The sequence below is a fragment of the Homo sapiens genome, chromosome 7, assembly GCF_000001405.40.
Source record: "Homo sapiens chromosome 7, GRCh38.p14 Primary Assembly".
Taxonomy (NCBI): Eukaryota; Metazoa; Chordata; class Mammalia; order Primates; family Hominidae; genus Homo; species Homo sapiens.
Window position 1 is genome coordinate 7,069,613 of NC_000007.14, and position 27,820 is coordinate 7,097,432.

At 40.1% G+C, this 27,820-nt stretch overlaps 1 long non-coding RNA gene and 1 pseudogene across 5 annotated transcripts in view, besides 1 other annotated feature; one reads left to right on the forward strand and one right to left on the reverse strand.

Moving 5' to 3' along the window:
- Window positions 1–27,820, forward strand: part of LOC105375138 (uncharacterized) — a 121,035-nt gene that overhangs the window by 79,372 nt on the left and 13,843 nt on the right. For all 4 annotated transcript variants that reach the window (XR_927009.3, XR_001745076.2, XR_001745075.2 and 1 more), the window contains exon 2: window positions 25,346–25,519. This is a non-coding gene — a long non-coding RNA (uncharacterized LOC105375138). The remainder of the gene's footprint in view (window positions 1–25,345; window positions 25,520–27,820) is intronic.
- On the reverse strand, window positions 6,158–27,174 carry LOC100131257 (zinc finger protein 655 pseudogene; annotated as a pseudogene). Its single transcript, NR_034022.1, has one exon. The product of NR_034022.1 is annotated as a zinc finger protein 655 pseudogene (transcript).
- Window positions 22,601–22,769: a silencer, noted in NCBI's record as "fragment chr7:7131844-7132012 (GRCh37/hg19 assembly coordinates)". NCBI's record gives its function as "represses an EF-1alpha promoter that drives an FKBP-Casp9 reporter gene in an ReSE screen in HepG2 liver carcinoma cells {active_cell/tissue: HepG2}" and the evidence as "EXISTENCE:reporter gene assay evidence [ECO:0000049][PMID:32094911]".

The window sequence follows — 27,820 nt, forward strand, 5'->3', positions numbered from 1 at the left end:
ACCCTCACTGTGATATTGTTCGTAATATCTAAGGGGAAAGATGACGTTATTCCCAGTATGTCAGGAAATGTACCCACTCTGTGATATTGTTCGTAATATCCAAGGGGGGAGATGACGTTGCTCCCAGAGTCGCAGAGAGTGTAACCCGTCTGTGATATTGCTTGTAACATCAAAAAACGGAGATGACGTTACCCTAGTATCACAAAGGGTGTATCCCCCCCTGTATATTGTTCGTAATATGCAAGGGGTGAGATGACGTTACTCCCAGTATCGTAGGGGGTGTACCTTCTCTGTGATATTTTTCATAATATCTAAGAAGGGAGGTGACGTTTATTCCGGTATCACAGGGGGTTGTACCCACTCTGTGATATTATTTGTAATATCCAAGGTGAGAGATGACTTTACTCCCAGGATAGCAGGGGGTGTACTGCCTCTGCAATATTGTTTGTAATATCCAATAGAGAAGATGACGTTACTTTCAGTATCACAGCACGCGTACCCCCTCTGTGATATTGTTTGTAATATCCAAGGGAGCAAATGACATAACTCCCAGTATCTCAGGGGGTGTACTGCTCCTGTAATATTGTTCATAACTTTTAAGGGGAAAGATGACGTTACTCCCAGTATCTCAGGGGGTCTACCTTCTCTGTGATATTGTTCGTGATATGTAAGGGGGGAGACGACGTCACTCCCAGTGTCGCAGGGGGTGTACCCCTTCTGTGATACTGTTCTTAATATTTAAGGGGGGAGATTATGTGCCGAGACCAGCTCGGTCGGTCGGGGAGACCCTAACCCAGCGGAGCTAGAGGAATTAAAGACACACATAATGTAAATGACGAGTTAATGGGTGCAGCACACCAACATGGCGCATATATACATATGTAACAAACCAGCACGTTTTGCACATGTACCCTGTAACTTAAAGTATAATAATAAATAAATAATAAAAAAATAAAGTTACAAAAAAAAAAAAAAGAAACATATAAGTGTGGAGTAGGAAATCAGGGGTCTCACAGCCTTCAGAGCTGAGAGCCTCAAATAGAGATTTACCCACGTATTTATTGACAGCAAGCCAGTGATAAGCATTGTTCCTAGAGATTATAGATTAACAAAGTATTCCTTAGGGAAAATAAAGGGAGGGGCTGAAATAAAGGGATGGGTTTGGCAGGAGTGTGTCCTTAAGGCACAGACCGCTCATGCTATTGTTTGTGGTTTAAGAAGGCCTTTAAGCAGTTTTCCACCCTGGGTGGGCCAGGTGTTCCCTGCCCTCATTCCGGTAAACCTACAACCTTCCAGCGTGGGCATCATGGCCATCATGAACATGTCACAGCGCTGCAGAGATTTTGTTTATGGCCAGTTTTGGGGCAAGTTTATGGCCAGATTTTGGGGGGTCTGTTCCCAACAATTATGTAACTCCCACTATCGCAGACGGTGTACCCTCTCAGTGATATTATTCGTAATAACCAAGGGGGAGATGACGTTACTCTCAGTATCACGGGGGTGAACCGCCTGTGAAATGGTTCATAATATCCAAGCTGGAAGAGGACGTTACTCCCAATATCGCAGAGGGTGTACCCCCTCTGTTATATGGTTCATAACATACAAGAGGGGAGATGATGGTACTTTCAATATCGCAGTGGGTGTACCCCCTCTGTGGTATGATTCTTGTAGTATAAAATGGGGGAGAAGACTTAACTCCCAATATAACACGGGATGTACCCCCTCTGAGATATGTTTCATAATATCCAAGGAGGAAGAAGACTCCCAATATCGTAGAGGGTGTACCCCCTCTGTGACATGGGTCGTAGTAACCAAGAAAGGAGATGACGTTACTCCCAATATCGCAGAGGGTGTGCTCCCTCTCTGATACAGTTTGCAATATCCAAGGGGGGAGATGACATTACTCCCAGTACTGCAGAAGGTGTACACCCTCTGTGATATGGTTCATAATATCCAAGGAGGGGAATGACGTTACTCCCAATATCGCAGGTTGTGTATCCCCTCTGTGATATGGTTCGTACTATCCAATAGAGGAGATGACGTTACTCCCAATATCTAAGGAAGTGTACGCACTCTGTGATATGGTTCATAATATCCAAGAGGGAAATGACGTTCACCCAATATCACACAGGGTGGACCCTTCTGTGATATTGTTCATAATATACAAGGGAGGAGATGATGTTACTCCCAATATTTCAGGGGGTGGACTTCCTCTGTCATATTGTTCGTAATATTCAAGAAGGGAGATGATGTTACACCCAATATCAAAGGGGATGTACCCCATCTATGATTTTGCTCATAATATCCAATTGGGGAGATGGTGTTATTACCAATATCACAGGGGGTGTACACCCTCTGTGATATTCTTTGTAATATCTCAAGGGGGAGATGATATTACTTCTAATATCGCTGGGGGTGTAAACCCTCTGCGAGATTCTACATAATATCCAAGCGGGGAGGAGATGATATTACTCCTAATAATATCGCAGGTGTGCAGCGCCTCTGTGAGATTCTTCGTAATATCCCTGCGGGGAAGAGATGACGTTACTTTTAATAATATCGTAAGGGGTGTACCCCCTCTGCGAGATTCTTCGTAATATCCCAATGGGGAGGAGATGATGTTACTCGTAAAAATATCGTGGGGTGTACCCCCTCTGCGAGATTATTTGTAATATCCCGGGGGAGAGGATGATATTACTCTTAATAATATCTCAGTGTGTGTACCCCAACTGCGAGATTTTTCATAATATCCCCGGGGGAGGTGACATTACCCCTCATAATATCGCAGGGGGGTGTACCTTCACTGTGAGATTCTTCGTAATATCCCAGAAGGGAGATGATATTAATCCTAATAATATCGCAGGGGGTGTACACCCTCTGCGATATTATTCTTAATATCCCAGTGGGGAGATGATATTACTTATAATATTGTAAACACCCTGTGTGTACACCCTCTGTGATATTCTTCAAAATATCCATGAAGGGAGATGATGTTACTCTTAATAACGCAGGGGGTGTACACCTTCTGTGATACTCTTCGTGATATCCAAAATTGGAGATGATGTTACTCCTAATATTGCAGGGGGTTAAAACCTCTGTGATATTCTTCCTAATATCCAAGGGGGGAAATGATGTTACTCCTAATATAGCAGGGGGTGTACACCCTCTGTGAAATTCTTCATATGATCCGAGCGGGGAGATGATGTTACTCCTAATATCGCAGGGGGTGTACACGCTCTGTAACATTCTTTGTAATATCCAAGGGGGGAGATGATATTACTACTAATATAGCAGAAAACGTACACTCTCTGTGATATGCTTGGTAATATCCAAGGGGAGAAATGATTAATTTCGCAGGGGGTGTACATCCCCTGTGATATTTTTCATAATATCCAAGGGGGTAGATGATGTTACTCCAAATATCGCAGGGGGTGTACACCCTCTGTGATATTCTTTGTAACATCCCAGGGAAGAAATGATGTTACTCCTTACATCGTGTACACTCTCCGTGATACTTTTCGCAATATCCCAGGGGGCAATGACATTACTTCTAATATTGCAGGGGGTGTACACCCTCTGTGATAGTCTTTGAAATATCCAAGGGGGGAGATAATGTTACTCCTAATATCGTAGAGTGTGTACACCCTCTGTGATATTCTTCCTAATATCCCAGGAAGAGATGATGTTACTCCTAATATCGCAGGGGATGTACACCCTCTGTAATATTCTTGGTAATATCCCAGGGGGGAGATGATATTACTTCTATTATGGCTGGGGGTGTACACCCTCTGTGATGTTCTTTGTAACATTCCAGGGGGGAGATAATTTTACTTCTAATATCTCAGGGGGCGTACACCCTCCGTGATATTTCTCGTAATCATTTTCAAGAAAGGAGATGACATTACTTCTAATATCGCAGTGAACGTACACCCTTTGCGATATTATTCGTAATGATGTCCAAGGGAGGAGAAAACATTACTTCTAATACCTCAGTGTGCATACACACTCCATTATATAATTCATAATCATGTCCAAGGCAGGAGATTACATTACTCCCAATATCTCAGGAGGTTTATAATATCGCAGTGGGCATACACCCTCCGTGATATTATTCGTAATGATGTCCAAAAAGTAGATGACATTTCTCTTAATATTGCAGTAGGCTTAAACCCTCTCTGATATTGTTCGTAATGATGTCCAAGGGAGGAGATGACATTACTCCTAATATCGCAGTGGACGTACACCCTTTGTGATATTATTCATAATAAAGTCCACGGGAGGAGATGACATTACTCCTAATATCGCAGTGGGTGTAAATCCTCTGTGATATTATTTGTAATGATGTCCAAGGGAGGATATGACATTACTCCTAATACCGCAGTGGGCATACACCCTCTGTGATATTATTCGTAACAATATCCACGGGAGGAGATGACATTACTCCTGATATCGCAGTGGGTGTACACCCTCTGTGATATTATTCATAATATCCAAAAAAGGAGATGACATTACTTCTAATATCGCAGTGGATGTACACCCTCTGTGATATTATTTGTAATATGCAAGGAAGGAGGTGATATTACTCCCAATATCCTACACACCCTGTGTGTACACCCTCTGTGGTTATATTTGTAATATCCAAGGAAGGAGATGATATTACCCCTAATGTTTCAGTGGTCGTACACCCTTTGTGATATTATTGGTAATATCCAAGGAAGGAGATATTACTCCTAATGTAGTAGTGGGTGTACACTTTTTGTGATATTATTCGTAATATCCAAGGGAGGAGATGATATTACTCCTAACATCGTACACACTTTGTATGTACACCCTCTGTAATATTATTCATAATATCCAAGGGAGGAAATTATACTGCTCCCAGTATCGCAGGGGGTGTACACTCTCTGTGATACTCTTTGTAATATCCAAATGAGATGATATTACTCCTAATATCGTGCTGGGTGTACACCCTCTGTGATAATATTCATAACATCCAATGGAGGAGAGGAATTACTCCTAATAATGCAGGGAGTGTACACCCTCTGTGATACTATTTGTAATATCCAACAGAGGACATGATATTACTTCTAATATCACAGAGGGTTTACACCCTCTATGATACTATTCAGAATATCCACGGGAGGAGATGATGTTACTTCTAACAGCGCATGGGGTGTACACCCTCAGTGATACTATTCTTCATAATATCCAAGGGAGGTGATGATGTTACTTCTAATATTGCACAGGGTGTACACCCTCTGTGATACTATTATTCGCGATATTTAAGGAAAGAGGTTATGTTACTTCTAATATCGCATGGGGTGTACACCCTCTGTGATACTATTATTCATAATACTTAAGGGAGAATATGATGTTACTCCTAATATCGCACGGGGTGTACACCCTTCATGATACTATTATTCATAATGTCTCAGAAAGGAGATGATGTTACTGCTAATATCGCATGGGGTGTACACCCTCTGTGATACTATTATTCATAATATTTAGAAAAGGAGATGACGTTACTCCTAATATTGAACAGGGTGTATATTCTCTGTGATACTATTATTTGTAATATACAAGGAAAGATATAATGTTACTCCTAATATCGCATGGGACGTACACTCTTTGTGATGCTATTATTCATAATATCCATGGGAGGAGATCATGTTCCTTCTAATATCACATTGGATGTACACCCTCTGTGATGCTATTATTTGTAATATCCGAGGGAGGAGATGATGTTACTCCTAATATTGCATGGTTACACCCTCTGTGATGTTATTGTTCGTAATATCCAAGGGAGTAGATGATGTTACTTGTAATATCCCACGGAATGTACACCCTCGGTGATACTATTATTCATAATATCCAAGGAAGGAGATTATATTCCTTCTAATGTCACAAAGGTGTACATCCTTGGTGATATTATTATTCATAATATCCAAAAAAGAAGACTATATTATTCCTAATATCACAGGGGGTGTACACCCTTAGTGACATTATTCATAATATCCATGGCGTATGATGACATTGCCACTAATATCACCGTGGGTGGTCACCCTTTGTGACATTATTCATAATATTCATGAGAGATAATTATATTGCCACAAATATCCCCATGGGCGGACATTATGTGACATTATGTCACATAATGAGGTGACAATATGTCACCTCTGTGACATTATTCGTAATATCCAAAGGAGATGATGATGTTGCCCCTCGTGGGTGGACTCCCTCTGTGATACTTTTTGTAAAGGAGGATTATAGAGTGAGCAATATATTTTTATATATTTGTTGAGGGTCCCTAGCAAATATTATAACATCTGAACTATGAAAGCCTGGCTTGACAACTAGAATTTTAAATAACACTTGTCTTATTCACAAAATGTTATAAAGCTTAAGATGGAAAAATATAAAATGCTTTGACATTACCTAAAGAAGCATGAGCTCTTGTTAGGTATATGATGGTGGCCCTGAACTTGAGCCGACATCTATAATCCCTTTTATCAATCAAAAAGCCATGTTCTTTTATATGGCATGCAGACTATTAAAATACGAAAATGTGATAATGGATAAGCAACTAACACAAAGCCCCCACACTTCAAATACTGTCCTGGATTGATGAGGGAAGACTGGTTGGTGTGGGGGTGGGGGAGAATTCAAATATTTATCTGCAATCCTAATGGTTAAAATTTTACCAGGAACAGACCTGCCACTCTCTTGAAATACTGTCTCTGAGATTAACGTTAAGAACAGCATCATCTCTGTTGAAAGGCTACATTCCCTTATGATGCTGATTTTTTTTTTGTATGTTTTTGTTTTTTGTTTTGTTTTGTTTTGTTTTGAGATGGAGTCTTGGCCAGCTGGAGTGCAGTGGCGATCTCGGCTCACTGCAACCTCCGCCTGCCAGGATCAAGCGATTCTCCTGCCTCAGCCTCCTGAGTAGCTGACACTACAGGCACGTGCCACCACGCCTGGCTAATTTTTATATTTTTAACAGAGACAGGGTTTCACCATGTTGGCCAGAATGGTCTCCACCTCCTGACCTCGTGATCCACCCGCCTCAACCTCCCAAAGTGCTGGGATAACAGATGTGAGCCACCGCACCCAGCCTGTGTATGTTCTTTGTGTTTACCGTACCAAAAGCAGACCTGAGCATTTTGCTGGCCTTAGAGGTCTATAAAAGAACTCTAAGCTTAGGCATGCAGAACAGGCACTGGATGTATGTAGTGAGCTTACCAGGAGTCTTGTTGGCTCCCTGATGTCCTTATCATCTCTCTTTGCAGGCTGTGGATGCACACAAGGCAACTAAAATCTTGGGCATCGTTTGAAAATGTTTGGCTGCCTGCTACAAACTCAGAAGAGAGAACACTTACTTATATTCATACTTGTATTGGACTGGATATATTTTAAATCCAATTCTTTTTTAAAAAAGATGCCTCACTTTAGGAAATAAGACATCAGACCAGCAACATCAACTAGGTATGGAATACTTGCTGGTGAGACACTTAAAACTAGGAATCTTCTAAATCTTCTAAAGGTGCTTAAGAGCATGGAGAAATCAATAAACAGGCATCCAAGTGTTGTGGCTGTAAAGCAATAACATAGGGTCCCTAGTAAAGAGTAGGCCTAAGAGTTGGTTTTGGAGAGAACTTGGGCCAAGAACAGCAGAAAAAGCTAAATGAGCTACTTATGTTGATGTGTTTTAATACTGGTGCATTCGCAGTATCTTATGGAAGTTGTGAACACTAAGAACCAATTTCAAGAAAAATAAAAATGTTTATAGGGCATATTAAAATAAAAACAGCTTAAATTAGTTCTGTAAATAAAATAGGCCTAGCACAGTGACTGATGCCTGTAACTCCAGCACTTTGGGAGGACAAGGTGAGAAGATCACTTGAGGCCAGGAGTTCGAGACCAGCCTGGGCAACAAAGTGAGACCCCATCTCTGTTCTTTTTAATATCAAAATTATTATAATAAAAAAGTAAAAATAAATGTACCTACTTAGAACACATATTAAATAAAGGAATGCCATGAGAAAATGGCACTGCATTTACCAAGTCACCACTAGATTCTTGTGCAATGATAAAGTTTGAGACTATGTATTAACAATTTCATAAATAAATAATCAACAATTTTCTTTCCACTATTTTGATGTTGGGTAAAGCCTGACATGTGCTGTCAAGTTTTCCATTTGCATTACATCAAATTCTTGTCTACTATGGATATTCTGATATAAAAAAGACTAGTTAAACTCCTATTGAAAGATTTGCCATTCACTACACTCACATAACTTCTCTTAGATATAGATTCTTTGATGTTGAATGAGCGTTGGGTTGTGACTGAATCTCCTCGTGCACATACACATTTATTACATTCATAATCTTTTTGCATGGCATGAATTTGATACTAAACAAGGTAGTTTCTTTGACTGATGGCTTTTTCACATTCATTGCAGTAATGGAATTTTATTCCCATACGAATTCTCCAAATGTGACTAAGGTATGAAATTATTAATAGCATGAAAATTGAATTATCTGATGCTGAGTAACGGTTGAGCTATGACTGAAGGCTTTACCACATGCAGTACGTACATGATTTCTCCCTGGTGTGAACTCCCGGATGTTGAATGAAGCCTGAATTTGACTAGACTAAATGTCTTCTCACCCTCGTTATATTCATGAGTTCTCTTTGGTATGAATGCTCCGATATTGAACCAGGTGTGCTCTCTGACTGGAGTTCTTTTTCCGTACATCACAATCAAAGACTTTCTGTCTGGTGAGGACATCTTGTTGCAGGATAAGGTCTGAGCTATGACTGAAACTGCCCTCATACTCGTTACATTTATATGATTTCTCTTTCCTATACATTATTTGATGGTGAATAAGGCATGAGGTTTGACTGAAAGCTTTTCCATATTCATTACACTCATGCAGTTTCATTCCTGTGTGAATTTTTTGATGCTGAATAAGATGTGAATTCAATCTGAAGTCTTTTCTACATTCATTACATGTATAGGGCTTTTCTCTGAAATGAATTCCTTGTTTAATATAGGCCAACCCATATTCATCATATTCATAGGATTTCTCTTCATGGTGGACCCTCTGATGTTCAAGCAGATATGAAGGATGGCAGAAGTCACTGCCAGATATAGTACACTTACAGGGCATCTCTTTGTGAATTTTCTGATGTTGAGTAAGGTGGACACTATGACTGAAGATTCTTTCACAACTGCTACATGTGTAAGCTTTGGCTCTGGTGTGAATTTTCTTGTGTTGAATTATGCCTGAGCTTGGACTACAGGATTTATCAGATGCTTCACATTTGTAAGGTTTTTCTCTAGTGTGTATTCTTTTATGTCGACTAAGACTCGAGCTCTGACTGAAACGCTTTTCACATTCTTTACATTTGTAGGGCTTCTCTCTAGTATGGATTCTCTGATGTCTAGTAAGGGCTGAGCTCTGATGGAAAACTTTCTCACATACATCACATTTATAGGATTCCTCAGTGTTAGGGATGCTGTCCCATTTATTAAGGAGGGAGAGATCCATTAAGCTTTCCTTACATATACTACTCTGAAAATCCTGTGTTAGATTTATGTGTTCATGTTTACCAGAGGCTGAATTCTGGCTGAAGCTCATGTCGTTCTTATCATTATCATCAGTGTTCTGTATTCTAAGAACTTTCTGATCTGCATCAATAGTAGAGTCCAGACTGAAGCTTTTTTCAGGTTTATTACATTCATTGTTCTTCTCACTGGTGAAGGCTTCTTTGCTGATTGTTATTTGCCTAAACTCTCCAGGTACAGGAATTTCCTTAGAATTTCCTGAAGCCTTTCTAATCTGTCCTCAGACTTATACACTTCTCTAGTCTCAGGAACTTAGGTAATATTGTGTTTGAGTCTTCCTACTATCACTTTGCATGAATGTACTTCTTCTGAAATTTTCTCCTTAGGAATCAACAGCTTGTTCTCTGGTCTCTCCATCTGATACAATATATAAATAGAAGATACAAATGTAATCTGTACCCTGTGCTTAGGAAAAGAAAACTCAGATGAGAAAACTGAACAATGTAATATCTACAAGGACAAGAAAAGTTTATTTATGCTGAAAAACAGGCTCAAAATCTCAACAGCAGAAGTAAGGGCATGAACAGGAGCAGTGAGGTAAAACAGCGGACATCTTTAGCAAAGTAAGAAGACACCAGTTAAGGAGATAATAGGGAAAGAGTTTGAAAGAATTTTAGATAAGCAACTTGATTAGCGGTCCAGTACAACATGTGCACAGGTCCTAAACAAATGGAAAGGGTCAACCTAACTGAAGGAAAAAGAAAATAACTCTCCATGCTGGGACACACACAGAACTCTTCATTCTGAGTGCCAAAGCAGCTACAACTTGGCTCAACAATTGAACTTTACTTCCCTACTAATTCCATCTGATTGATTCTGCCTTCCTCACCTGAGAAGTCATCTCTTAAGACTTCTCTAGTCTTAGTTTCCAGATCAAAGACCTGTAGATCCTGTTCCAGCTGGGAGAGCCCATCAGGCTTGGAAATTGGAAATCCTGATCATAGAGAAGGAAATGGGTGTGGCAATGTATCCCCAGATGCTACACCAGCCACTTTTTCTTTTAACTAATGATTAAGACAGAGAGAAGGTAAACTCTGAGAAGACGTTAATTAGGAAGGCCTGGAGAGTGAAGAGGGCAAAGATCTTCTACAAGGAGCTCAAATTTGGGCTCTAGAAAGATGTGTGTTAAGGGGCAAGTTGATGGCTTGGGAGCAGAAGGATTCATTTAAACATTATTCGGACAACAGGATGTGTGCATGGGTTTGTCTTCACAGAAGTTATCCTTATCACTCTCCATCTGTTACCTAAAGATCAATCTTTGGATTAGAGCTGGTCTACAAGCATCAAAATGGAGGTCATCAAAATATAATTCTGCTGGACTGGAGAAAGGTGAAACTCAAGCATCTGCTACATGGTTAGCTAACCTGTAGCAAAAGAATCAGTGAAAACTGAATAAATATTCTAAGAACCAATCTCAAGAAACAATTCGTTTCAGTGCACATAAGAAAACAAAGAATAATATGACACATTCTTACCCATTAGGAGTGTAGCATTTATTCAGTAAACATTTGTGGAGTGCCTCCTTTACGCAAAGTATGCAGGGGATAAAGAGGGCAAGCAAGGTCCCTTCCCTTAAGGACCTCAAGGATCCCACACTCTACACAGAGAGAGCTCTAAACAACTAACTACAATAAAATGTAGATAGAGGAAAGTGCAATCAAAGTGCATCTTCACATAAAACGGTCTTTCTATGGCTTGCATAATGGAATGCTTGGATCTAAATCTCTTTAAAAGCGAAAGCAATAGGCAGTCTGCTTCTGAGGAGACAGAATTTTAATACTATTAGCATCAAAGGGCAGTTTTTATATGTGTCCAGCCCAGAAAGCTTCTAATAGCACACATACAAGGTCTAGCTCAAGCTCCTCATCTCCAAAAACCTTTCTCTCCATTTACTGAATGTCTACAAAATTTATTAGTTGTTCCTCTTACCCTGACATGTCACATATCATGGTGTTTACATAGATTTGTTTTGTTTTTTGTTTTTTTGTGACAGAGTTTCTTCACTCTGCCGTCCAGGTTGGAGTGCAGTGGCATGAGCTCAGCTCACTGCAAACTTTGCCTTCCGGGTTCAAGTGATTCCCCTGCCTCAGCTTCCTGAGTAGCTGGGATTACAGGAGTGCACCACCACACCCAGTTACTTTTTGTATTTTTAGTAGAGATGGGGTTTCAACATGCCTGAACTCCTGACCTCAGGTGATCCACCTGCCTCTACCTCCCAAACTGCTGGGATTACAGGCATGAGCCATAGCACCCGGCCCTTTACATAGATTTTTTAAAGTAGTTTCAGGTATTATCATTCATACTTGATTTATAAACTCTTTGACAGAAGGGACCATGTATCTTGTATCTTGCACTTCTTTTGATTCATTTACTTAACAGCTACTTATTGAATGCCAACTCTGTGCCCAAGTATCAATGTATTAACAGCTACCCAATTTTGTAAAAAGGGTATTGGGGCTGGAAAATATGAAGAACAGCTCCCCAGAAGATTCCATGTGACAGCCTATGAGCAAGGAGATCAGGACAGATAGAAAAAGGTATTTACACCCCCTGCGATATTGGGAGTAATATCATCCTCTCCCCCCTGGATATTTAATCCTTATAACCGCCTCTGAGATGTGTGCTAAAGAATTCACACTTGGCTGGGTGCAGTGGCTTATGCCTGTAATCTCAGCACTTTGAGAGGCCGAGGCGGGCAGATCACCTGAGGTCAGGAGTTTGAGACCAGCCTGGCCAACATGGTGAAACCCCATCTCTATTAAAATACAAAAATTAGCTGGGCATGGTGGTGCATGCCTGTAGTCCCAGCTACTCAGGAGGCTGAGGCAGGAGAATTGCTTGAACCTGGAGGTGGAGGTTGCAGTGAGTCAAGATCGCGCCACTGCACTCCAGCCTGGCGACAGAGTGAGACTTCGTCTCAGGAAAAAAGAAAAAAAAAGAGAAAGTATTCACACTTTACAGGTGATTAAATCAAAAGCAAACAGGCCCAAGTAATCTGTCCAAGCCCAAGAAGCTAGTAAATGGAGGAGTGAGAATTCGAACCCTGGCATTCAGAACCCAGAGCCAGAGCTCTTTGCCACATTGTCATACTGCCTTCCTCCTTATTACAGAGGTGCATATAGTAGCCATTTCATTAAAAATGTAATAAATGAATGTTCATTGCAGGGCTCTGATAGCTCCTCATTCCTTCCAAAGTAGCAAACCAGGCATAAATAAAAGATGAGATACATAACTTAGAAACGTTTACATAAATTTCTACATATTAGAAATTTAGCACACAAAATGGTACACATTATGCAAGAATACAAACAAAAAGATGTTAAACATTTGAGAATGGTTATGTATGGAGCATTGTAAATAAACAGGAATAGACAAAACAAGAGAGGCCTCCCGATATCGCATGGACATATAATGATAATGTGCCATGAACTGAAAATACAATTATTTGGCACTCAGCACCTGAGGTCTTAGCACCTGGGCCCACGTCTCCAGAGGTGAAGAGCAGAGTCACATGCCTCCCTCCTCCCCCACGGAGGTCTCCCACCATTCTAACCTCACAGGGCTTGGGGTGGGATGAGATTTAAATTTATATGAAAATACTTACAAATATTTTAAAATTATTTCTTACTGTTGCTATATTTATTATATAAAAATATGAATACTTAATCATTTTTAGGTGAGGCTAGTGTAAAAAAATGGACCTTCCAATCAAAACTCTATAAATAAAAATTTTAAATGTTATCTTGGTTCTCATCCTTGGCAATGATTCTTAAATATATCTCTATATATTAGGAATCTGCAGCTCTGCAGTGTGGCCCAGGCATCTGGTAGTGTGTGTATGTACGTGTGTGTGTGTGTGTGTGTGTATGTGTCTGTGTTTATTTCTGTCATTGCTTTTTTTAAATTTTAACACATTTTCAGCACTCCAAAAAAGAAACCAATACACTTTAAGAGTCACTCCTCATTCTCCAGTCTCACACCTGACCCACAGTCCCAGGCAATCTCCTTTATGTCTCTTTAGAGTGACTCAATTTCCGGACATTTTAACCTACTTTCTGTATCTTGGAATTGGTCTATTCTGGACACTTCATATAGATAGAACAATACAATATGTAACCTTTTGTGATTGGTTTCTTTCACTTGACATAATATTTTGAAGTTTCAACCATGTTGTAGCATATGTCAGTATTTCATTCCTTTTTTTTAAAAATATACTTTAAGTTCTGGGATACATGTGCAGAATGTGCAGGTTTGTTACATAGGTATACACGTGCCATGGTGGTTTGCTGCACCCATCAACCTGTCATCTACATTAGATATTTCTCCTAATGCTATCCCTCCCCTACCCCCCTACCCCCAGACAGGCCCCGGGGTGTGATGTTCCCCTCCCTGTGTCCATGTGTTCTCATTGCTCAACTCCCACTTATAAGTGAGAACATGCGGTGTTTGGTTTTCTGTTCCTGTGTTAGTTTGCTGAGAATGATGGTTTCTGGCTTCATCCATATCCCTGCAAAGGACATGAACTCATCCTTTTTTATGGCTGCATAGTATTCCATGGTGTACATGTGCCACATTTTCTTTATCCAGTCCATCATTGATGGGTATTTGGGTTGGTTCCAAGTCTTTGCTATTGTGAACAGTGCTGCAATAAACACACGTGTACATGTGTCTTTATACTAGAATGATTTACACTCCTTTGGGTATATGCCCAGTAATGGGATTGCTGGGTCAAATGGTATTTCTGTTTCTAGATCCTTGAGAAATTGCCACACTGTCTTCCACAATGGTTGAACTAATTTACACTCCCACCAACACTGTAAAAGCATTCCTATTTCTCCATATCCTCTCCAGCATCTGTTGTTTCCTGACTTTTTAATGGTCACCACTCTAACTGGTGTGTGATGGTATTTCATTGTGGTTTTAATTTGCATTTCTCTAATGATCACTGATGATGAGCATTTTTTCGTATGTTTTTTGGCCACATAAATGTCTTCTTTTGAGAAGTGTCTGTTCGTATTTTTCACCCACTTTTGGATAGGGTTTTTTTTTTCTTGTAAATTTGTTTAAGTTCCTGTAGATTCTGGATATTAGCCATTTGTCAGATGGATAGGTTGCAAAATTTTTCTCCCATTCTGTAGGTTGCCTATTCATTCTGATAATAGTTTTTTTGCTGTGCAGAAGCTCTTTAGTTTAATTAAATCTCATTTGTCAATTTTGGCTTTTGTTGCCATTGCTTTTGGTGTTTTAGACATGAAGTCTTTGCCCATGCCTATGGCCTGAATGGTAATGCCTAGGTTTTCTTCTAGGGTCTTTATGGTTTTAGGTCTTACATTTAAGTCTTTAATCCATCTTCAGCTAACTTTTGTATAAGGTGTAAGGATGGGGTCCAGTTTCAGTTTTCTGCATATGGCTAGCCAGTTTTCCCAGCACCATTTATTAAATAGGGAATCCTTTCCCCATTTCTTGTTTTTGTCAGGTTTGTCAGAGATCTGATGGTTGTAGATAAGTGGCATTATTTCTAAGGCCTCACTTCTGTTCCATTGGTCTATATATCTGTTTTGGTACCAGTACCATGCTGTTTGGGTTCTGTAGTCTTATAGCATAGTTTGAAGTCAGGTAGCATGATGCCTCCAGCTTTGTTTTTTTTTCCTTAGGATTGTCTCGGCTATATGGGCTCTTTTTTGGTTGCAATATGAACTTTAAAGTAGTTTTTTCCAATTCTGTGAAGAAAGTCAATGATAGCTTGATGAGGATAGCATTGAATCTACAAATTACTTTGGGCAGTATGACCATTTTCACAAAAATGATTCTTCCTATCCATGAGCATGGAATGTTTTTCCATTTGTTTGTGTCCTCTCTTATTTCCTTGAGCAGTGGTTTGTAGTTCTCCTTGAAGACGTCCTTCACATCCCTTGTAAGTTGGATTTCTTGTTATTTTATTCTCTGTAGCAATTGTGAACTGGAGTTCACTCATGATTTGGCTGTTTGTCTGTTATTGGTGTATAGGAATGCTTGTGATTTTTGCACACTGATTTTTATATCTTGAGTTTGCTGAAGTTGCTTATCAGCTTAAGGAGACTTGGGGCTGAGACGATCGGGTTTTCTAAATATACTATCTTGTTATCTGCAAATCTGCAAACAGAGACAGTTTGACTTCCTCTCTTCCTATTTGAATACGCTTTATTTCTTTCTCTTGCCTGATTGCCCTGGCCAGAACTTCCAACAGTATGTTCAACAGGAGTGGTGAGACAACCTTGTCTTGTGCCGGTTTTCAAAGGGAATGCTTCCAGGTTTTGCCCTTTCAGTATGATATTGGCTGTGGGTTTGTCATAAATAGCTCTTATTATTTTGAGATACATTCCATCAATACCTAGTTTACTGAGAGTTTTTAGCATGAAGGTGTGTTGAATTTTATCGAAGACCTTTTCTGCATCTATTGAGATAATCATGTGGTTTTTGTTGTTGGTTCTGTTTATGTGTTGAATTATATTTATTGATTTGTGTATGTTGAACTAGCCTTGCATCCTAGTAATGAAGCCAACTTGATCGTGGTGGGTAAGTTTTTTGATGTGCTGCTGGATTCAGTTTGCCAGTATTTAATTGAGGATTTTCACATCAATGTTCTTCAGGGATATTGGCCTGAAATTCTCTTTTTTTGTTGTGTCTCTGCCAGGTTGTGGTATCAGGATCATGCTGGCCTCATAAAATGAATCAGGGAGGAGTCCCTCTTTTTCTATTGTTTGGAATAGTTTCAGAAGGAATGGTACTGGCTCCTCTTTTTATCTCTGGTAGAGTTTGGCTGTGAATCTGTCTGGTCCTGGGCTTTTTTTGTTGGTAGGCTATTAGTTACTGCCTCAATTTCATAACTTGTTATTGGTCTATTCAGAGATTTGACTTCTTCATGGTTTAGTCTGGAGAGGGTGTATATGTCCAGTAATTTATCCATTTCCTCTAGATTTTCTAGTTTATTTGCATAAAGGTGTTTATAGTATTCTCTGATGGTAGTTTGTATTTCTGTGGGATCAGTGGTGAGATCCCCTTTATTATTTTTATTGTGTCTATTTGATTCTTCTCTCTTTTCTTCTTTATTAGTCTGGCTAGTGGTCTATTTTGTTAATCTTTTCAAAAAATCAGCTCCTGGATTCACTGATTTTTTAAGGATTTTTCATGTCTCTATCTTCTTCAGTGCTGCTCTGATCTTAGTTATTTTTGGTCTTCTGCTAGCTTTTGAATTTGTTTGCTCTTTGCAAAAGAACAAAATTTGTTCTTTTAATTGTTATGCTAGGGTGTCGATTTTAGATCTTTCTCACTTTCTCCTATGGGCTTTTGGTGCTATAAATTTCCCTCAAAACACTGCTTTACCTGTGTCCCAGAGATTCTGGTACGTTGTGTCTTTGTTCTTATTGGTATCAAAGAACTTATTTATTTCCACCTTAATTTCGTTATTTATCCAGTAGTCATTCAGGAGCAGATTGTTCAGTTTCCATGTAATTGTGTGGTTTTGAGTGAGTTTCTTAATCCTGAGTTCTAATTTGATTGCACTGTGGTCTGAGAGACTGTTACGATTTCCATGATTTTGTACTTGCTGAGGCATTTTTTACTTCCAATTATGTGGTCAATTTCAGCATAAGTGCAATGTGGTACTGAGAAGAATGTATATTCTGTTGATTTGGGGTGGAGAGTTTTGTAGAGAACTTGCTTTGTGAATCTGGGTGCTCCTGTATTGGGTGCATATATATTTAGTATAGTTAGCTCTTCTTGTTGCATTGATCCCTTTACCATTATGTAATGCCCTTCTTTATCTTTTTTGATCTTTGTTGGTTTAAAGTCTGTTTTATCAGAGACTAGGATGGCAATCCCTGCCTTTTTCCCTTCCATTTGCTTGGTAAATATTCCTCCATCCCTTTATTTTCAGCCCATGTGTGTCCTTGCATGTGAGATGGGTCTCCTGAATACAGCACACTGATGAGTCTTGACTCGTTATCCAATTTTCCAGTCTGTGTCTTTTAATTGGGGCATTTAGTCCATTTACATTTAAGGTTAACACTGTTATGTGTGAATTTGATCCTGTCATTATGATGCTAGCTGGTTATACTGCCCATTAGTTGATGCAGTTTCTTCATAGTGTCAGTGGTCCTTACAATTTGGTATGTTTTTGCAGTGGCTGGTACCGGTTTTTCCTTTCCATGTTTACTGTTTCCTTCAGGAGCTCTTGTAAGGCAGGCCTTGTGGTGATAAAATCTCTCAGCATTTGCTTGTTTGTAAAGTATTTCATTTCTCCTTCACTTATGAAGCTTAGTTTGGCTGGATATGCAGTTCTGGGTTGAAAATTGTTTTCTTTAAGAATGTCGAATATTGGCCCCCACTCTCTTCTGGCTTGTAGGGTTTCTGCAGAGAGATCTGCTGTTAGTCTGATGGGCTTCCCTTTGTGGGTAACCCAACCTTTCTCTCTGGCTGCCCTTAACATTTTTTCCTTCACTTCAACCTTGATGAATCTGAGGATTATGTGTCTTGGGGTTGCTCTTCTCAAGGAGTATCTTTGTGGTATCCTCTGTATTTCCTGAACTTGAACGTTGGCCTGTCTTGCTAGGTTGGGGAAGTTCTCCTGGATAATATCCTGAAGAGTGTTTTCCAACTTGGTTCCATTCTCCCCATCACTTTCAGGTACACCAATCAAATGTAGGTTTGGTCTTTTCACATAGTCCCATATTTCTTGGATGCTTCATTCATTCCTTTTCATTTTTTTTCTTTCTAATTTTGTCTTCATGCTTTATTTCATTAAGTTGATCTTCAATCTCTGATACCTTTCTTCTGTTTGATTGATTCAGCTATTCATACTTGTTTATGCTTCACGAAGTTCTCATGCTGTGTTTTTCAGCTCCATCAGGTCATTTATATTCTTCTCCAAACTGGTTATTCTAGTTAGCAATTCTTCTAACATTTTTTCAAGGTTCTTAGCTTCCTTGCATTGGGTTAGAACATGCCCCTTTAGCTCAGAGGAGTTTCTTATTACCCACCTTCTGAAGTCTCCTTCTGTCAATTCGTCAAACTCATTCTCCATCCAGTTTACTTCCCTTGCTGGCAAGGAGTTGTGATCCTTTAGAGAAGAAGAGGCATTCTGGTTTTTGGAATATTCAGCTTTTTACCCTGGTTTTTCCTCATCTTCATGGATTTATCTACTGTTGGTCTTTGATGCTAGTGACCTTCAGATGGGGTTTTTGTGTGCAAGTTCTTGTTGATGTTGATGCTATTCCTTTCTGTTAGTTTTCCTTCTAATAGTCGGGCCCCTCTGCTGCAGGTCTGCTAGAGTTTGCTGGAGGTCCCCTCCAGACACAGTTTGCCTGGGTATCATCAGTGGAGGCTGCAGAACAGCAAATATTGCTGCCTGTTCCTTCCTCTGGAAGCTTCATCCCAGAGGGGCACCCGCCAGATGTCAGCTGGAGCTCTCTTGTATGAGGTGTCTGTCGACTCCTGCAGGGAGATGTCTCCCAGTTGGGAGGCATGGGGGTCGGAGACCTACTTGAGGAGGCATTCTGTCCCTCAGCAGAGTTTGAGCACTTTGCTGGGGGATACGCTGTTCTCTTCAGAGCCAGCAGGCAGGAATGTTTAAGTCTGCTGAAGCTGCGCCCACAGCTGCACCTTCCCCAGGTGCTCTGTTCCAGGGAGATGGGAGTTTTATCTATAAGCCTTTGACTGGGGCTGCTGCCTTTCTTTCAGGAGCCCTGCCCAGAAAGGAGGAATCTAGAGAGGTATTCTGACTACAGCAGCTTTGCTGAGCTGCAGTGGGCTCCACCCAGTTTGAACTTCCCAGCAGTTTTGTTTACACTGTGAGAGGAAAATCACCTACTCAAGCCTCAGTAATGGCAGACACCCCTTCCTCCACCAAGCTGGAGCATCCCAGGTCAACTGTAGACTGCTGTGCTGGCAGTGAGAATTTCAAGCCAGTGGGTCTTAGCTTGCTGGGCTCCATGGGGGTGGGGTCCACTGAGCTAGACCACTTGGCTCCCTGGCTTCAGCCCTTTTTCCAGGGAAGTGAATGGTTCGGTCTCGCTGGTGTTCCAGGCCCCACTGGGGTATGAAAAAAACTCCTGCAGCTACCTTGGTGTGTGCCCAAAGGGCCGCCCAGTTTTGTGCTTGGAACCCAGGGCCCTTGTGGTGTAGGCAGGCACCTGAGGGAATCTCCTGGTCTGCAGGTTGCGAAGACAGTGGAAAAAGTGTAGTATCTGCGCCTGAATGCACTGTTCCACGTGGCATAGTCCCTTATGGCTTCCCTTGGCTAGGGGAGGGAGTTCCTGGACCCCTTGCACTTCCCAGGTGAGGTGATGGCCCACCCTGCTTCTGCTTACCCTCCATGGGCTGCACCCACTGTCTAACCAGTCTCAGTGAGATGAGCTGGGTACCTCAGTTGGAAATGCAGAAATCACCTGCCAACTGCATTGATCTCGCTTGGAGCTGCAGATCGCAGCTGTTCCTATTTGGCCGTCTTGCCAGCCCCCTCATTCGTTTTTAAGACTAAATGATATTTCATTGTATGTAGATGCTAATTTTGTTTATCCATTTATCTATTGATAGGCACATGCTAATTTTTTATGATTACGAATAATACTACTATGAACATTTATGTGTAAGTTTTGTGTGAATGCATATTTTTGTTTCTCTTGGCTACATACCTAGGAAAATAATTTCTGGGTCATGTGGGAACTCTACATTTAACTTTTTGATGAGTTTAAGCATCTTCATGCTTTAAAGTTCCCTGGAAGGACAAGGACCTGGCTCTCTGACTCCCCAGGCTGTCTCTTGAAAGGTCCACACTCCAGGTCAGGTTTTTGAGAAGTTACTTTAATGTTTTATGAAAAGAGAGGTGTCTTCACTTCAACTTTTTAATGAAAAGATTCATCATAATGATTATTATCTCCCTTTCATCATACCTCTCTCCTTAGCTCTATATACTTTGAGAATGACATTATTCACCTTTTTAAGTAAATAGGTCACATAGCACAGTTATGAGCACATGCTATAGAGGCAGCCTTCCTGGCTTACATGCTGCCTTCCCTACTTACCAGCTATATAATTTTGGCCATGTTACTTAACAGTTTCTCATGTATAAAAATGATATGATGACAATATGATATTACTTTCTTAGGGTTATTGTGGAAATTCAATTAATTAATATCTGTGAAGTCCATAGAATGGTACCTGGCATAGTCTAAGTATTCTATAAATGTTCATTTTTATTATCCTACTACCAACATTCCACAATGTTTGTCATACAGATGGTGCTCCACGAGTATTTGCTGAATGAGATACATGATAAGAGGGCTTAGCTAGAGCAAGACTCATCACATGTAAAGTATTAATAGAATGAACCAGTCCTTCCCATTTGTTCCTAGGGAAACTAATCACTCCTTCCTGGTTGCACCTACAGCACTTAGAACATCCAATAGAGCTGACATCTGGGCCTTGGAATATTGTGGCTGTGCTCATATCTGTGGCTCACAAACAGCTCCAAACTCTTCTTCACCTTTTTATAGCTGACACCCAGCAGAGGAGCCAAGCACTAAGCAGGTTTGCAAATATTCAATGCAACACCTTATTGGTACTTGATTGGCAATAAGACCAGTCTTAAATAAAATCTATATATATATATTAGCCATTAACCAAGACCACCAAGTTTTATGTGCAGTTTTATAATTAGCTAGTAGTACGACATTTGACCATATAGCTACCCTCTTTTGTGTTTTCCTAAGGTATAATATTGGCCCAGATGAAAATGGGATTTGTTTGGTTCAAAAATCGTCAAAAATCAGCTATTTCATATGATTCAAGCTGATACTTCCAGCCCTCAAGTTCTATGCCCTAAGCAAGTAGTTCTCAAAAGACTCCTTTAGTCGAGAAAGAAAAAATACTCCTTATGACAGACTCGTACAACATAACGTACACACAAGCATGAGTGTACTTAATAAGCATAGGTAACTTTGAAGCACAGCACTAAACGAAGGGAAATACGTATTTATTAACAGTCAGGACCACAATCCCATTTAAATTTCAAACAACTTTCAGAAATAGGTATCTCTTCACATTACAAATGAAAGAAACAGATGCCAAATGAATCACTTGTAAATGATACAGAAGTATTAAGTGTGGATCCAGGACTCCCACCTACCCCCAAGTCTATCTGAATATAGAGCCTATGTTTTCCCCACCACGACCCTCTGCTTTCGCTGAGGAAGCCTAACCTACACAGAATGGCCCTGGAAAGAATGACTAAAGGATAAGCAGCCAAAACCAGAATGGAAAATAATTCGTATACTCTAATTTTACTGCAGGATGCAACTGCAATTTTATTTCAGTCGTACCATTTATTATGAAATATCTCTTCTTGATTTCCTCCCCAAACCTGACATTGAAGTCTCGATGGTAACATTAAAAAATCTCTTAGCTATATCCTTAAGGGTTCAGAATAAAATCTTCCTGTACATGATAAGAGGCAGCATAGGTCAAGAGCCTACTCTGATTTCTGCTTCTTGGTGATCATACAACTTCATACAAGTTACTTGGCCTCCTCTTGCCTCAGCTTCTCACTTCTGGAAAAATTAAGAAAATATCAGTAACTATCATGGAATTTTAAAACACACCTTCCTTTTCTTACAGAAAAAAAAAAGAGGAGCTAAAAAATTATATTTCTGGGGTTTTTTGTTTGTTTGTTTTTTGTCCATTCTTGGTTAAAAAGGAATCAGCTAAGGAAACTTGAAGGCAAAAGAGTGACGTAGAAACTACAGATACTTTATTGATAAACAGTTGATGTAAATATCTTATTTTGAGTAGGTGATGTAATGGAAATGGTACTAAAACTTGATTAAGTAAAGACAAAACTGGCCAGGCATGGTGGCTCATGCCTGTAATCTAAGCCCTTTGAGAGGCTGAGGTAGGTAGATCATCTGAGCCTGGGAGTTCCAGACCAGCCTGGGCTACATGGCAGAACCCTATCTATACAAAAAATACGAAAATTAGCCAGGTATGGTGGTGTGCACCTGTGGTCCCAGCTACTTGGGAGGCTGAAGTGGGAAGATTGTGTGAGCTGAGAAGTCGAGGCTGCAGTGAGCTGAGATTGCGCCATTGCACTCCAGCATGGGTGACAGAGTGAGACCCTGTCTCAAAAACAACAACAACCACCACCAAACAAACCTAATATGTTATGAATAAATTTAACTCTGTAACTCCTCTGTATAAGTCATGGCAGTTTTCCTCTTGTGTGATTTCCTTCTTTTCACTATAAAAAAAATGAGGACTCTTCTGTTGTCGAACTTTGCTAAATCATATTAATAAAATGTATGCCAGTTAAGGTGTGATTTTTTCTTTTTCTCTTCTTTCTTTTTTCTCCAAAAAGCCATCACAAGAGAGAACAATTTTGTTTTTTTTTGAGATAACGACTAAGATTAATGTGGTCCCTTTTATATAAGCTAATAAGACAAATTGTTTTTAATTTTTAAACAAAATTATTATTTTTTAGAGACACGGTCTCACTCTGTCACCCAGGCTGGAGTGCAATGACAGTATTACTGCTCACTGCAGCCTTGACTTCCCAGGCTCAAGGGATCCTCCTGCCTCAGCCTCCTGAGTAGCTAGGACTACAGGTGCACAACACCACACCTGGCTAATTTTTTATTTTTTGTAGAGACAGGGTCTCATCATGTTGCCCAGGCTGGTCTGGAACTCCTGGGCTCAAGTGATCTGCCCACCTCAGCCTCCCAAAGTGCTGGGATTACAGGTGTGGGCCACTGTGCCCGGCCTATAATATTTTAAATTGTAAAATTAAAACATTAATAAGTTTCTAAACCTGAATCTAACATGTGGCTTTATGTCCTGATAACTCCACATGATGTTACGATGATTAAAGGAGTAAATTCATGAAAAACACTTAGGACAGTGTCTGGCACAAGCTAAGTGTTCAGGAAATTATTATTATTAGTGTTGCATCTTAATGGTCTCAAGCTATTATTTTTCACCCATCATATTTAGTGTAAAATAGAATTTGGCCCTGGGAATCAATGACCACATACATGGTATAACTAATCTCAAATATTTAAATTGACTAAGATATCTATGTTTCATTAAGGTAATCTTGGCCCATAGAGTCTAACTAGATCAATCGTTTACAATCATTAAAAGAAAAAAAAGTGAAGCACATAATGCAAAAACATTTCACAGGACTCCATGTGATATAAATTATATAAATTGTTATTTTGTTTTATCCCCTAGCTGAAAAAAATACATAAAGAGTAAAAGCTACCATAAATCCTCTAATGCTTTGAAATTAATTTGTATTTTGTTTTTGACAACGTATATTTGAAAATTTATATTTGAGCCATATTCATTCACACGGCAGTTAAGCTTGTAGAATATACAGATTCACTGGCGTTTTAATAGCTTAATGAGCTCCTGGGAAGCCATGGCTAGCCATTAGGAATAATGAGTTAGAAAGGTCAGCAAAACCTTTTCTGCAAAGGGCCAGAGAGTAAATATATTAGGCTCTGCTGGCCATGTATGTCTCTGTTGAAACAACTCAACTTTGCCATTGTAGCAGTGGGCAACATGTAAACAAATGGGTGTAGCTGTGTTCCAATAAGACTTCACTTTCAAAAGCCTCAGCCCACACTGAAGGTGGGGAGGTTATGCAAAGGTGTAAATGCCAGGCAGCAGGCATCACTGGGAGTCCTCGCAGAGGCTGCTGGCCACATAACCCAATGCTCACGATCCCCAAAGTGTATTTGGAGGAACATGAATTGTTGATGTGTTTGGGAATTTTTTTGAAGCTGCATTTTATATTTAAACTATATTTTCAAAATTTCACACAGGAGCTTCAATCAAGCTGTGTAATAAGTATATGGGAGTCATTTATATTATTCTCTATAATTTATTTGTAATATATCAAAACAAAAATGCCTCAAAAATATACAGTAAAAGAATCAAACACATTCCTAGAGTTGTTTTTATGAACAATCTGTTTATATAGTGCTGGTTTATGTTTTATATCTTGTCATAATTTTAACATATGTTTAAGTATGAATGTTTATATAATAGTAAGTTTCTCTCATAGACCATCTCTCTTCTGCTTACCACATTTCCTTTAACACCCTAATTACAACGACTCTGAGATTCTACCTGAAAAATTAGCAAGATGCCCCCACATTCTAGCTTTTCTCTCCACAAATATTGAGGAAAGTCCCAGCTTTGTTTACACATGTCCTTGAGTCAGACCTCATTGCCACCTACTGATGTGATATAATTTGGGTGTGTGTCTCCTCCAAATCTCATGTTCAAATGTGACCTCCAATGTTGCAGATGAGCCTAGTGAGAGGTGTTTGGGTCACGGGGGCAAATCTTTCATCAATGGCTTGGTGCCATCCCAATGGTAATGAGTGAGCTCTCATTCTGGCAGTTCACACGAGAGCTAGGTTATTTAAAGGAGACTGGGACCTCCTCCTCCCTCTCTTACTACCTCTCTCCTGCCATGTGATATGTCCACTTCCCCTTTGTCTTCCACTATGAATGGAAGCTTCCTGAGGCCCTCCCGAAGCAGATGCTGTTATCATGCTTCTTACACAGAACTATGAGCCAAATAAACCTCTTTTCTTTATAAATTACCCAGCCTCAGGCATTCCTTTATAGCAATGCAAGGTAGACTAACACGTGATGCTCATTTTTTTTTAAAGCCTGCAAACAGTAAGAAGATTCCCCTCTCTTTCTCAGTGGATGTAAAGCAGTGATTCTGCATAAATGTATCAACACTATAGCTCAACTCCTTCTGGAGTGGACTTCCCCTAGACCTGGAGAGCGAGTCCTGCCTAGCATACACGGCCTGAAGTTCGAGATCTCTTCCAATTCAGGTAATATTCCGCTTTCTGTATGCCTGATCTCTACATATATCTGACATTGATTTTTAACTCAAATGAGGAAACAGGAAATTATTAATTACAATCTCCTAAAACTACAACAGGTGTTATAAAACTTCTGAATATAAACAGGCAGACAGCAAAAATGTACACAGGCATAAAATGTAAACTTGAGTGAGAAAAAGGAGCTGAAAAATGAAAGGCTCGCTTTGAAACAAAACAGCACTGAAGAGTCTACAAAGAGAGAGTGACTGGAGAGAGACTGATGTGGGAGAGCAGAATGGGGATCAGATTATAATGAGTATCTCTCCCACACTAAGGAATTTGCAGCTTTTTTTGATAGGCAATAAAGAGTTACATATAACAGCTGTATTTAAATTGTTCCTAGGTGATGGAGCTGCAGGTAATTCTTTTCTTCTTCCTTTTTGTATTTTACTTTTTCTTTTTTTTTTTTTTTTTTTGAGACAGAGTCTCACTCTGTCACCCAGGCTGGAGTGCAGTGGCGTGATCTCAGCTCACTGCAACCTCCACCTCCTGGGTTCAAGCAATTCTCCTGCCTCAGCCTCCTGAGTAGCTGGGATTATAGGCGCACACCACCATGTCCAGCTAATTTTTGTATTTTAGTAGAGACGGGGTTTCACCATTTTGGCCAGGCTGGTCTCGAACTCCTGACCTTGTGATCCACCCACCTTGATCTCCCAAAGTGCTGGGATTACAGGTGTGAGCCACTGCACCTGGCCTTAATTTTTGTTTATTGGAAAAGAAGGAAAATCTATATTTTTAAGGCCACCAGCCACAGCACTTAGAGAAGAAGGAGGACGTATATTGCTTTTGCTGTTTCCTGTTAGCCTGACATTTGCGACTACATTGACTCTGCTGGGGTCACTTTCTCTAATTTGTGGATTTTTTTTTCTTTCTCAACTGCCTGGAGGATATGTATGGGTCCATGACTCGGCCACCACATAAGATTGTGAAGATTATACCTGTCAAGGGTGCCCAGTCAAGGAAGAAGAGTGGCTGAATTCAGCCTGTGCTCTGCCTGAAAGCCCTATGCTCTGTGTGGGCCTTAGTCCACCTAGAGGAAGGGGTACCTTTTAAAAGTACACACAAAGGCACATCATGGGCTGGCCGCAGCCCTGCCTGGCCCCAGGTGAGCTAGCAGTGCCAGATGCCTCCAGAATAGACTGGAAGGCCTTCTGTCCCTCTATTATGTCAAAACTGCAACTGGAACTACTTTGTCCAAGGAAAGGAGAGAGAAACCATAGGAAAAGGCCATAGGAGAATGGTGTCTGGAAAAAAAAACTGCAACGAATATAAGAGATATGAATGAAGCAGATGCAATGAAACAACAGGTTTAATTTCAGGCTTATTTTAGCGAATGGAATAGAATCCCCATTGAGTAAACACGAATACAAAGGGTTTATTGAGAAGATACAGAGGAATTGCACAGAGCCAAAAGCCCAGTCTGGCTTCACAAGACTTGGAAAACTAGAGTGAGGTTCAAGGAGGTTTTCCCCGTTCATTTCTCCAGAGTCACACAGCCTCTCCTCTCCTCACCTCTGTACTGTCTGCTCTACTCTTCAGTCTCTCTCTAAAGACAAGTTTTTCTTACTCGTTAGAAAGCTCACGGCAAAAAATGGCTCCTCGATCTCAACTTTATGGGACCATTCTCTTCATGCATTCACTGTTCTCCGACCACAATGTCTATAGATTTGGATCAAATTTCCAAGAGATGAGAGAGCAAATTCCTATTTTACTCACTTGCAGATTCAAAATTAACACAGATATGATTTGTAAAGAGAGTATTTCTACCAGTCTTGACCAGGACAGTAGATTTCTATATTGAGTTCTACAGATCAGCCCATAGCTGTGTTGAAGTCAGATAAAATATAAAGACTAATCTCTAAATTTAAAACATTTTATTTGGGAAGCAAAGATTGGATTCAGCACATACCCACAGACTGGCTGGCCTTTAGTATGTCCAAAGAAAAAAGAGAAGGTTGGAGGCTTTTATAAAAAGGACAAATGTTACATATTATTTTGAAAGTAATTTCATTGGCACTAGTAAGGTTTTGGATAGCTGGCAAGCTCTGGTTGGTGAACGATGGTGGTGGCTGAAACTAGTTGTAGAGTTACAGCAGGCTGTTTCTGTAGCTATTATATTAAAACTGGTTCACGTTAAAACAGGCAGTTTCGGCAGCCAGGTTTGCAGAGAATTACATTCTTGGAGCAATATGATATGCCCTGAGTGCATTTTCCCCCTGGTTCCTCAACTCTGATTTAGTTGAGTATAAC